Genomic DNA, 13804 nt, shown 5'->3' on the forward strand with positions numbered 1-13804 from the left:
CTTCAGTCACTCATAATATACCCTTTTATTCCTCCTTCTTCTGTGATATTGGGAGTGTATAGTTGTCATTGTGACAAACCCTTTGCTGTCAGTATCTATAGTGGATGGGGAGAAAAGGAGAGCTTTGCCAATCATCGTCTCCAGTGCATTTCCCACTGTCAGTGTCATTGTCTAATGCTGTTTGCATCCACACAGCCTAAGGGAACCGTTCAAGTGAGTGACTCCCTCCCTTCACTTCAGCCCATCACTTGAGCATTTCTCTCCCTTGAAAAAAGACAAGTGGTGCTTCTAAGACTTGAGTAATTCTGAATTTAATTGAGGACTAGATGTTCCTGTTTTATATCCTACAGGGCTGGCATCTCTAATGCTGAAAGTACAACAAAGTGCAGTGGTAGTCACTGAGTGTTCAGCCATGCTGGGTCATCAAAATAAAAGGAGATCGTCTTCCCATTCCTATCAATGGCCTAATCTCTACCAGATATATAACTGGAAAAACAATGCATTTGCTTAAACATCCACAGTGAGCCACACTTGTTCGGTGTTGTGGGGAAATGACGCAGAAACATCCTTGTTTATTAAGGATCCAATATTGATAGGCTGAGGCATATTTTTCCTCCCAAGTCTGCACATGGTCATGCATTAAATATTAATGAGCATCTTCTCTCTATCAGGCTTTGGGGGATATGTTCACCTCTTGGGAGGTGAACATGATAGATAAGATCCTTTCTCTCATGTAGCATTCTCTCCATTCTTTTTTTTTTTTTTTTTTTGATAGTGACTAGCTCTGTCACCTAGGCTAGAGTGCAGTGGTGCAAACATGACTCACTGCAGCCTTGACCTCATGGACTCAAGTGATCCTCAAGTGATCCTCTTGCCTCCACAACATCCAGCTAACTTTTAAAAAAATTTTTGAAGAGAAGGTTTTGCCATGTTGCCTCAGCCTCCTGAAGTGGTGGGATTACAGGTGTGAGCCACTGCACCTGGCCACGTTTTCTTTCCATTCTTATGGAAGGCAGTAGTCAACAAAACAGTTAATCAATTGAGAATATATTAGGTTGTTATAGGAACCATGAAAAAATAAAATAGAGTGTGTAAAGAAGGCTTGATGGCCAGGAAGCTTTTACAGGGAAGTGACATTGGAACTGAGACCAAATACTTAAAGAAGGCAGTTCTTTGAAGAGTTGATGGGAAAGTATTCCAAGAAGTGGGAATGGCAAGGGGAAAGGACTTAAGATGTAACCTCAGAATGATTAAGGAGGAGCATGGTACAAGAGGATGTCAGAAACATAGCCAGGAAAGAGAGCTATGCTTAAGTATTAGGATTTTATTCTTTGCAAAGGAAAAGCCCATTGAAGCTTTAAAGCAAGGCCCTAAGAGTTAACATAATTTTTTTAAGGTACCTTAAAAATTTTGCTGAATGAAGAATTCATTGAAGTGAGTCAGGAATGTATGATTTTGGACAACTGACACAATGCCTGAGGCATAGTTTCTTCATATGGAAATTGGAGACAATGATCATATCTACCTTAGCAGATTATATAATGAATTATTTTCCTAGGGCTCCTGTAATAAGGTACCACAAACTGGGTAACTTAAGCAACAGAGATTTATTGCCTCACAATTCTAGAGGTGAGAAGTCCAGATCAAGAAGCTGGCAGGGCTAGGCTGCCTGAAAAGGTGCTAAGGAAGGAACTCTTCCAGTCCTCTTTCTCTCCTTCCAGTAGTTCCTTGGCTTGTGACAGCACAGTGTCAATTCTCATATGGCATCCTCCCCGTGTGCCTCTCTCTATGTCCAAATCTCCCTTTTATTTAAGGACAGAGTCACAGTGGATTAGAACATCCCCATAACATGAAGATTGCATGAAATTATATACATAAATAACTCAACAACATAGCTTCCAAATAGAAAACACTCAGCCTTTGTCATCTCATCATTATTTGTTTACACCTTTGTATTATTGGTATAGCTCTAGTCTTTTGAAAGGTGCAGTTACTCATCTTTGTGTTTTCCACTCCTTTATAGCTAAGTGTAAGGTGCTTTTGCAAAATCCAGTACTGCATATTTGAGAAATGCTTTTTATTCCTACACATACTGCATATACTGTTACACAATTCGATTTTGTAGGTCTAATGAAGTTGGTCTTTCTATGAGTTCCTATGGCTAAAAATAGTCACAATTGTGTACTCCAGTAAATTGTTAGAATGAAGGAAAATAGTTTGAGTGAAATTATCAATCTGGTTTTTCTGACTTCAGCTGTGTGTCATGTTTGGTTAGTCAGAGAAACATCTAATGTGAGGCCCCTGGAGGACAGCTGATAAGTAAGCATACCAAGTAGAATGGCTACTGGAAAAAGTGTGCCAGCTAGAGAGAGAGAGAAAAGAGAGAGTTAATTTACCATTTGCTCAAGTAAGGAATGATCCACAAATTCAACAAAATCTAAGTAGTCTTAAAGGACATGTCATTGACAGATTTATCTTCTAGTCTCCCACTTTGTCTAATACTGCTTCAAAACAAAGCAATTTACTGAACCCAGTGGTCTCATTATTCTGGAGGTTTATAAGTTTAAAAATACCTGGAGTTTTGGGAGCAGCAATAGCACTGAAGTGGGATATTAGTAGTGATGCGTGTGTTTACAGCACCTGTGAACACACAGAGACTGAAGCTTGAAGGCTGATGACCCTGAGTTAGGGGAAAAGATAAAACTTTTTATTAGATTTTTTTAATGTCGAGAAGAAAATTATTTATCTCCATATTTCCTGAATATTATCCTCTTACAATTATGTCAATGATTCTCACCCCAGTTATATATTAAAATTACCTGGAGATATATAAAAACTATCAATGTTCTACTCTTCTACAGATTAAATCATCATCACTGAGGGTGGCCCTCCAGCAACCAGGTTTGAGAACCACTTTAGACCAGAATTTTTCTCTGTGCCATTCAGTAATGGCAATGATAACTGTAGGATATGCAAATTGCAGAAAGACAAGGGCAAATGATTTAACTTATCCCCAAACAGCTGAACTATCTTAAGCCTCATGGCTACTTTAGAGTGACCAAATCCATGTAGATGCCAGAAGTTGTGTCATACACCTATTTCAAGGGACACATAGAATTTACCTATATATACCTACCTCAAGGGTCATGTCAGTTTACTATTCCCCTAAACAACAGCTTAATAGTATAAACTGCTGAACTGCTGTCTGCCTAATATTTATTGTGGCTATACTTCTTCTTTTCTGTATTAAAGGCCACTGCTTTCCCAGCTTGCTCTTTGTTCTCCATCATCTGTTGTGGGTCACTTGTGCTTTCTGTTTTTAACACCCATGTTGCTGAAGTCATTTCTCCAATTCATGATCCATGAAACTACTTCAGCAGTGAAAATGGCACCCCTCAGGTTCAAGTCAACACTTTTATATTTCCCTCTAGGTCAAGATCCAAGCTATGGAAGAAATCAGGATATGTCAATTTTCTAGAGCAGCCAAGTTTTCTAAAAGTCTACCTAGCCATGTAGTTATGTAGCCTCACTCTCACTTAAACAAAGAAAATTAAAAAGCACACCAGAAAATACTTTTCTTGTTAAAAACACATGTTTATTGTAGAAAATATAGTAAGGAAAAAGAAGAAAATATAAGGCAACTAGAATTTCTCTAGTTAGAGATAACTATTATTTATTTGAGTGTGTGTATATATCTATATATATATTGACATTCAGCTCTTATGTACTAGATACACACATCTACTGTTTCATAAGCTTTTTTCACAGAATAGATTATAATCAGTTATGTTTGTTATCACCACAACATTTTCTTCTTGAAGACCTTCTGGAATGAGGCATTTGCTTTTCTATCTAGAGACCCTATCCTTTCAAAAGGTCCTTTATCTGTGGAAAGAGCTATTCTGGCCACAGTTACTGCCAAGAAACAAGGTGTTAGAAAAGGCCTAAAGTTAAGTGCAGAACTGTTGTGTTTTGATGAATATTCCGTTGTTTTGAGAGGAGGTAGAAGCATTCTCAGCTTCAGGATATTTGCTCACTACTCATTAGTCTCTCTGAGAAGTAGCAAACTTCAAAGGTTAAATATGAAGAGATGAATTGTGTAATGCCTAGATGTCAGTAGCGGAGAAGGTATCTGAGCAAATTCAGAATTTTATCCCTGTCTCCATGGGCCTAGTGTGAAGAACAGTCATTTGTGTAAGTGGGTCTTTGTGTATATGGTAGTGAATCAGGTCACTGAGTCAGAAACTTAGAGCTGTAAGGAAAGTGAGGTGCTCTCCAGTCCAGTGTTCTGGAATTTCTTCTGCAGTGGCCCCCAACAGCAGGTGGCAGCCTCGTCCATGATTGTATTCTTAAGTGACATGGTATTACTCTTTCTATTTGCAATCTATTTCACTGATGGATAGTTCTAGAGATCTGAAATATTGAGATTTAGCTCAGTGTTGTTTATATGAAGATAAATTCCGCTTTCCAACAACTCTCTTGTATGTGTCTAATGTCTGCCGCATGGAATGTCACAGATTATGCTTCATACTTGTCTTCCTGAGTCTTCTTTATCCAGAACACCCTGAGTTTTTGAATGGTTGACATGCCAGCTGGCTTTCTGCAGATGTACTTCTCGCGTGTAAATTTCCTTCTCTGTGAGGTATTCATATTGAACATGACCTCCAAGTGTGTTTGGGTCTGTGCAGAAGACAATAGGACTGTGATTTCTGATGATTAAAACCTGGATTGTATGTTACTGTGATCAGACCCTGAGACTGTGTTAGCAAGTTTTATAGCATCTGAGTCGCTCTGTTGGAGGAAAGTGCATGTGATGGGCATTTGCTTGCTTCCCCACCAGATTCTCTACCTTCACCCTTCCTGCAAGATTCCCTAGGAAGCTGACTTCTGCTGAATGCAACACTCAGGTTCTCTGCTTCCTAGATTCTAGTTGAGTTTGGTCCATGGGAGGCCTTGGCAGAAATTTTGAGAGTAAGAGCAAATAATTAATTAACCATTAGAAAAAAATAACATGAATGTGTCCTTCTATCCATGACCTCAGTTCCTGTTGGGGAGCCTCGGTGCCAATCCCTCGGTGCATCACCATTTCTAATTAGTTCCTGTTTTAGTCTGCTTTTGCGTGTGTGTGTGTGTGTGTGTGTGTGTGTGTGTTGTTATAAAGGAATACCAGAGGCTGAATAATTTTAAAGAGAGGTTTATTTGGCTCACAGTTCTGAAGGTGTGCAAGAAGCATGGTGCCACCATTTGCTTCTGGTGAGGGCGTTAGGCTGTTTCCACTCATGGCAGAAGGGGAAGGGAAGCTGGCATGTGCAGAGATCACGTGGCGAGAGAGAGGGGTTTGTGCCAGGCTCTTGTTAACAACCAGCTCTTGTGGGAATTAAGAGAGCTAGAACTAGGTAGGCACGGTGGCTCACGCCTGTAATCCCAGCACTTTGGGAGGCCGAGGCAGGTGGATCACCTGAGGTCAGGAGTTTGAGACCAGCCTGGCCAACATGGTGAAACCCCGTCTCTACTAAAAATACCAAAAATTAGCTGGGCATAGTGGTGGGCACCTGTAATCCTAGCTACTCTGGAGGCTGACACAGGAGAATGGGTTGAACCTGTGAGGTGGATGTTGCAGTGAGCCAAGATCGCACCACTACATTCCAATCTGGGCAGCAAGAGTGAAACTACATCTCAAAAAGAAAAAAAAGAGCGAGCAAGAACTCACTTGGATGGCACCAAGACATTCGTGAGAGGTCCACACTCAGGACCAAAACACCTCCCATTAGGTCCCACCTCCAACAATGGGGATCACATTTCAACATGAGTTTGGAGTGGTCAAATATCCAAACCCTAGCAGTTCCCTTAACCCTGGAAAGAGATCCTTCATTAAACTCTTTCTGCTTAATCCTTTGAGAGTGCAACAATTTCCTGCTAGGACCCTGACAGATAGAGGGACCATACAGATCACTAAAATGCTGAGGAATTTTTCAAATGAACTGCACCCAGCAGACCTCCCTGATTCTGAATATATCAAACTTTTATTTTTTATTTTATTTTATTTTACTTTTTGAGACGGAATCTCGCTCTGTCGCCCAGGCTGGAGTGCAGTGGTGCGATCTCGGCTCCCTGCAACCTCCACCTCCTGGGTTCAAGCGATTCTCCTGCCTTAGCCTCCCGAGTAGCTGGGACTACAGGCATCCACCAGCAGGCCTGGCTAATTTTTTATTTTTAGTAGAGATGGGGTTTCACCATGTTGACCGGGCTGGTCTTCAACTCCTGACTTCATGATCTGCCCACCTTGGCTTCCCTAAGTGCTTGGATTACAGGCGTGAGCCGCTGCACCCAGCCAAACTTTAAAAAAAAAACCCAAATAGTACTTTGAACTTCACCCGCAGGGAGTTATTCAAATTGGTTGTCAGCCAGTTATTTCAGGTTGTTGAGATCATCTGGCTCTTGATTTTATTAATCATCTTAGCCTTCCCTTTCAACAATTTGCCGACTTTGTGCAAATTTTATTAATATGTGATCTCTGTCTTTATCCATGGAGAGGCAGTATAGTATCATAAGGAAAAATAGACTTTGGAGTAGGCAGAAATTAGGTTTGAATTACTAGCCACGAGGCTTTGGGAACATTACTTAAACTCTATAAGCTTCAATTTCTTTATCTATAAGGTAGGTATAAAACCTGAAAGTTTTGGCATGAGTTTAGTAAAACTGTCTGTGAAGCCTTTGTGGACTGCTTGGTCCATGTAGGCATTTGATAAACGGTGGCTTTATATAGAGGAGGGAAATGCAAGCTATCTCAAAAAGAAATCAGGGAAATAAGAATGCCATCTGAAATCTGTCATATGAGAATGAAAGGAGCATAGACAGGTTTTGAGTGTGGGGTGAGGAGTAGGGGAGGGGAGGAGATAAGTGAACTGCCCCTCAGACTTCCAGGGAGGAGAAAAATGATGTCACTGGGAACTGCAGTCATTTGAAAAGATAGCAATCAAGCATCTCTTTCAGAGCCCTGTTCATCTTTCAGTGGCTTTGCTTCTCCAGATGCTTTTGCTCCTTCAATTATCTCTGCCTTCTCCCACCTCCTCTCCAACCATCTCTTCCCTTCCTTAATTCACAATTTTTCTCCCTCTTTTCAAGGCATAGTGCTTTGATTTATAAATTAGTTCTATGTTTCTGTTTTCTAATTTATTAGTTTCTGCTTTCTTATTTATTTATTTTGAGATGGAGTGTCACTCTGTTGCCCCAGCTGGAGTGCAGTGGCATGATCTTGGCTCACTGCAACCTCTGCCTCTCAGGTTCAAGAGATTCTCCTGCCTCAGCCTCCCAAGTAGCTCGAATTACAGGAGTGCACAACCAAGCCTGGCTAGTTTTTGTATTTGTAGGAGAGACAAGATTTCACCATGTTGGCCAGGCTGGTCTGGAACTCCTGACCTCAGGTGATCTGCCTGCCTCAGCCTCCCAAAGTGCTGGGATTACAGATGTGAGTCACCATGCCTAGCCTGCTTTCATATTTATTAATATATTATTTCCACTTTCCTAAGGATAGTTGTTGTTCAACCTTTACTAGCTTTTTTGTTGTTCATACTAATACATTTATTTTTATTGTGCTATAGCTATTTCCCACATGTGATTTTTTTTTTTTTTTTTTTTTGAGATAGGATCTTGCTCTGTTGCTGAGGCTGGAGTGCAGTGATATGATCATGGCTTGCTGAAGCCCTGAACTCCTGAGGTTGGGTGATTCTCCCACCTTAGCCTCCCAAGTAGATGGGATTACAAGAAGTACCACTATACCTGGCTATTTAAAATTTTTTTTGGCGTGTGTGGAGATGGAGTCTCCCTATGTTGTCCAGGCTGGTTGCGAACTACTGGTCTCAAGTGATCCTGCCACCTTGGCTTCCCAAAATGCTGGGATTACACATGTGTAATATTTTTATTGTCACTATTTTCCACATATTCTGGAAATTTTATTTGGATTTCTTTTTTTTTTTTTTTTGACAGAGTCTTGCTGTGTCACCTAGGCTGGAGTGCAGTGGTGCAATCTCAGCTCACTGCAACCTCCACCTTCTGGGTTCAAGGAATTCTCCTGCCTCAGCCTCCTAAGTAGCTGGGATTACAGGCATGAGCCACCAGGCCCAGCTAATTTTTGTATTTTTAGTAGAGACAGGGTGTCGCCATGTTGACGAGGCTGGTCTTGAACTGCTGACCTCAAGTGACCTGCCCACCTTGGCCTCCCAAAGTACTGGAATTACAGGCATGAGCCACTGTACCCGGCCTGAATTTCTTTTTGACATAGAATTATTTAAGAGAAAGCTTTTAAATTTCCATGCTGTAATTTCTAGTTTTGTTGTGTCATAATCAGAGAATATAATCTGTAGCATTTCTACATTCTCTACTTTGCTTAGATGTTTTTAGGGTGGGGTGTGTAATATGTACTGAATTTTGTAAACATTTTATGGACATACAAATTTCAGTGTTTACTTTTTCAGGCTATAGGCTTTGCTACATAATTTTTGTGTATTTTGTGGTCCTCATATAGATTTTTTAATTATCTTTTTGCTGTGATAGAGATTAGAAGGGTAAATTAATGTCTCATTTACCATCATTTTTCTTTCTGTATCTCTTTTCATTTCCTGATGCTTTGGTTTTATGAAATCTTTATGTATAAAAATTGTGCACACATATCTTTATGCACAGTGTTTTGGATTTTACCCTTCATAATGAGCTTTTTTCTCTCCTTTGAATTTGACCTGGCCTGGTGTTAACAGCCCAGGTGTAAAATTCCAGTGAGAAAGAAGTCTGATGAGGAGTCAGTAGGATCTTTGTGTTGCTGAGAACTGCTCAGTAACACGGACAGCTCCCTGAACTCCAGGAAACATCCTGATTTAGTGTTTTGAGTATTGTGAAGCACAGTTAGAGCAGAAACATGGAGAATCACCTTAAATGGCAAATTGGCTTCTGGTCTTGCATAAGACTTCATTGAGGCCTAATGGGCTATGCAGGTCTACTGTCCAAAGTACAGAGGTTATTCCTAGTGTCTTTAATATTACTGTCCCTTTAGGCAAGATTATCCTTATGATAAGGGAGAGTGAATTAAGCTATTTTGGCTGAGGCATATTTTTATAAATTCATCCAATTAGCTTCCCTTGTTGTAGTTTTGGCTCACCAAACATTGTTCTCATTATAATTTAGCATCCCATATAATTTCATCTGCAGGGAGAGTCTGTACTAGGCATGGCGATGCTTACATGTCAGCCTGTGTGACTGCAAGAGTCTCAGTACAATTTGATAACATGGCACTCAGATTCTAGACATTATTCTCTGTGTGCTTAGTGAGTGTGATGACATAACCTTCAGAAAGATTCATCCTTTCTCACATATTGATAAATCAACTTTTACATCTACAAAGTTGAGAGTCAGAAATTAAAACCTTATTAATTCACTAAGGCATCCCTATGACGGCAGTCTTCCAACTAGCTCCATTCTGGGGCACTCTGACATCATTATACACTTTCCAATGAAAGCAGGGAGTGTATGTGATTAAAGGGAGAGCCCTGTGGCACTCCTGAAAAATCTCCCCTCCCAGTTCACATTGACTTATTAACCAACACTCATGATCATGTGAAACTCTAGAACTGGATCTGGGTGCCTGGCAGGATGACATGGTGTGAGGCTCAAGCAGCACTGTGGGAATTCAAGCATCTGTTTATTTCTGAGAGAAAAAGTGTAAAGCAAAATAATATCTTTTAACAAACGTTTGTATTTGACTAAAGAGGAAGCAAGCACTTAATTTATGAATTTGCTAATTGCTCTTCTGAGCTGAGAATATCTGTGTTGGATATTAGTCATTATCCATATTTGGCACAGAATAATCCCGAGGGTTAAATGACATTGTTCCTACAGTGGGCACCTGAAGACTGGCTGTAAAAGCAATCCTGGCCAGGGGCGGTGGCTCACGCCTGTAATCCCAGCACTTTGGGAGGCCAACGTGGGTGGATCATGAGGTCAGAAGTTTGAGACCAGCCTGGCCAACATAGTGAAACCTCATCTCTACTAAAAATACAAAAAAATTAGCTAGGCACGGTGGCAGACACCTGTAATCCCAGCTACTTGGGTGGCTGAGGCAGGAGAATCACTTAAACCTGGGAGGCAGAAGTTGCAGTGAGTCGAGATTGCACCAATGCACTCCAGCCCAGGTGACAGTGTGAGACTCTGTCCAAAAAAAAAAAAAAAAAAAAAAAAAGAAAGAAAAGAAAAAAAAAAGAAGAAAAAAAGAGAAATAAAAAAAAGAAAAATAAATAAATAAATAAATAAATAAAAGCAACTCTAACACTACTGAGGCTATTGACAGTGGCACTTTGTTCTTCTGTTAGAACCTTGGGAAAATTTCTTCCCCCTGAATACAGTATAATAAAGTTGGTTCTTATTTCTCTTTCTCTCCCCCTCCTTTTTTCTTCCCTCTCCACCACCACATGCATACACACAAATAGACAGATTTGTTTATATTTGACTTTCTAAAAACCTGTTACTAGAAAGGCACATTAATACATTTCTCCTGTGCTGATAGTAATCAGGCAACTCTGGTTTCTATTGGAGGCAATTTCTTACGTATTAAATGCCAGAAAAAGGGCATCCTTCTGTTTTTGTAGAGAGCCTTTCTTTATGAAGACTAATGACCACATTAGTTAGTCAGTCAGTCAATAATACTTACCAAATGTCAGTAGAGCAGAAGTGAACACCAACAGAAAATCACATTTTACAAATGCAATTTACTTGGTATCCTAACATGCCATGTCATAATAATTATTGAGGCTTTTCTTCTCTGCTGCATTGGTCTAATGAAAGTGGCTAGAAAAATATGGGTGCCCATGTAGCCTCCTGGAAGCACCTGTATGACTTTTCTAGAAGCGAGGTTCCTGGATAAAGATGAATTTTTAAAAGCTGGAATGAATGAGCAGCAATAGCAGAAGGAGAAAAGTGAGTGAGGGCTCTCCAAGAAGCCATCTGGCAGGCTAAGGGTTCTGAGGGAAGCTCTGGTTTCAGAAGCAACTCAGGAATTACTTCTGTCATATTAGGATGAGATGGTAGGAGATTGGGAACTCTAGGGACTAGAAGTCATTTAATTTCCTGTCTACAATCCTTAGAAGAGGTTTTGAGACTTGCAACCTAGGACCTTAACTAGTCATCTTCCCTCAGCATTGATAGAATTCTTTATTATACATGTTAATATCAGATTAGTCAGGATGGGCTGGATTATGCTGTGTTAACAGCCATTCTCTAAATCTCTGTGGCTCACCAGGGAGCTCTGCCTGTCATGGTCACTTGGGACCCAGGCTTTGGGTATAAGGCTACAGCACATGGAAAATGTATGAATGTCTCTCAGATTGTTAAAGCTTCAGCTGGAAGTGACATGTCATTCTGCTCACAGTTCATTGGCTAAATGAGTCACGTGGCTCTCTCTAACTTCAAGGATGGTATGAAATTGCAATCCTACCATGTCTCTAGAAGGAGAACCAGCCCTAATCACAATGCTACATGTTTATAGCTTGCCTCATAGAGTTTACTGTATTCTCCTGGTATAATTTTCTTACATGCTCAACTGGAGAGGAAGCTCTTAAATAGAAAAAAAATCACAGTAAATTTCCTTTAAAAGATCTATTTTACAACTCTGGCATGATGGAGCACAATGGAGTCCTTAGTAATGGACTCCATCTCTTCCATCAGATAAAATCTTGAGAACTGAAGTTAAAATTTGAATAATGAAACCAAAGGGAAAACAAATTAAATGAATTTTAAGACACTTGAGATAAGAACAACTGTGGCATCAGCACAATTCAATTTAATAATGTATTAATTATTTTGCAGAAAAGTGAAAACAAATTGATAGCCAAATCAATGCAGCATTAAGCCACCATTTGGTCTAATTTCTTGCTGAATTGACAAAACAAAACACTAGTTTAGTTATATAAACATGGCTGATGTTTATACAAACAACAGAATTTGCCGGTAGCATTATCACTGGAAAATAAGATGTGTACTTAATTCTTGTATGTTCTGAGCCCATCTAGGAAGAACATAAAAGACGAAGAACAAAGCAATCACAGGATGTTATCATGAAAATATCACCTTTGGCTGGAGTAAAGTTTTGGCTAAATGTGGCACTAGTATTTATTACAGCTCACCTTTTTATAATGAAGGGCTATGGACTGAACATTCTTATTATTTCCCATTTTCTTACCACTCTATCCCAACACACATGCACATGCATGCACACACGCACACACACTGGCACCCACACCCATGCATGTGGGACACACAGAGCAGCCTAGGCAATTTCAATTGTTGGCAGCTTTGCTTTTATTAGGTATTAGTCTACCGACTTGCTTTCTCTTTAGAGAGACTAAGTGAAACCAAACTCATTTCCACCCAGTTAGCCTGCTGGAACCTGTAACAGTTACTGTAATGTTAAAAGCAGTAAAACAAAATAAAAACCAGTCAGTTCACTTACTCCCGAAGTCCGCAGTTTGGTGTTCAGCTTTAAAACATATGCTCTGGGTGTCCTGTGGTGGCTACCAGAGGCTTTGGTGAGTCATTGTCAACCCAGTGGCTAGAGAAGTGCTGGAATGCCCCTCTTAAATACAGAGCCAGTTTGTCCTTCAGAATGGCTGCTTGAACGAATTTATTGCTCAACTCGAAAGGCCGTTTTTTATAACCCACTGCAGTTGTGCTTCATGTGTTTCTCCACCTATCCTGTAAAGCGTATTGTGAAATTAATTTTGTAGATTTCCTCACACTGCAGTGACTAGGGAAATCACCCATTCGTTATTATCTAATGAGGAGAAAGTGGAAACATCTAGAAGCACTGCTCCCATCCTCCTCCCCAGCCCACACAGACACCTACCTCAGGCCCTCCCTGTCCCAGGTGAGCAGAGGGCCCCACCTTTGGAGGTTGCCTCCCTTCCACCTTCACCAATCCTATGACCAGATTATCCCCAAGGAAATGTCAATCTCCAGGCAGCAAGGGAATCATATAAAGATAAGATCATTGAGAGATTTTTTTTCCTCCGTGATTGGCAGTTTATATTTTCTTGGGTCTACAAATCTGACAGTATTTATTAAATTTTCTAGTTTGATACTGACGTCTGTCTGATGCTGGGCTGTCACCATGCCCAAGACTGAGGGGACCCACAGTCTAGCTAGAAGGCATGGATCAATTCCAACTGCCCTACCCCTAGCCTGTGGGCAGGAGAAAGCTCTCAGGCTCTGGCAGAGGAGTCCCAGGGGCAGGATGCATGATCTTCCACTGTGCCTCCCAGCCATGCTGAGCAGCAAAGCAGACCATGAGCATGTCTCCCTTAAATTCATTTGCTTGATTTGTCCTTGAGTGTCCTTGGATGGGTTTGTTCCCTCCTTGTGCAGTATGTCTTGGTCATCCTGATTCCTGGGCTTGGCTCCCAGGTTGATTCTTTCCCTGACACAAAACAGGCACTATGGGCAAAGACACCTGCAGCCTTGGAGAGACCAGTGATGCTGGATGTTTCCTGTTAGCACTCAGGAAAGCTCAGAGCCTTTGATGAGCATCTTTTGATCCATTAGTTAAAACCACGCTGGGTTCTTTATAGTGGTTAGTTAGCTCTGGGCTATGGGATTGTGGAAGACATTTATTTCTTCTTTGGATTCACCTGGATTTTCTGCAACGGACATGTATCGATAAAATACACGGTGCTTTTAAGAAATTGCCCCATCATCATGTTGCTGTTGTTGTTATTGATATTGTTGTTTCTGATGGATAGAGATCTAGGCCTGACACTCCAAGCAG

At 40.6% G+C, this 13804-nt stretch overlaps 2 long non-coding RNA genes across 2 annotated transcripts in view; one reads left to right on the plus strand and one right to left on the minus strand.

Annotated features, from left to right (window-relative positions):
- The window catches only part of LINC02193 (long intergenic non-protein coding RNA 2193), a 35498-nt gene that overhangs the window by 10440 nt on the left and 11254 nt on the right, over positions 1-13804 (plus strand). The window lies entirely within an intron of this gene.
- LOC107987240 (uncharacterized) lies at positions 1705-12724 on the minus strand. Its single transcript, XR_001752321.3, has 3 exons — positions 12494-12724; positions 2574-2680; positions 1705-2362 (listed from the first exon to the last, which is right to left on the minus strand). It is a non-coding gene; the product is annotated as an uncharacterized LOC107987240 (long non-coding RNA).

Source organism: Homo sapiens, chromosome 16 (genome assembly GCF_000001405.40).
Source record: "Homo sapiens chromosome 16, GRCh38.p14 Primary Assembly".
Lineage (NCBI taxonomy): Eukaryota > Metazoa > Chordata > Mammalia > Primates > Hominidae > Homo > Homo sapiens.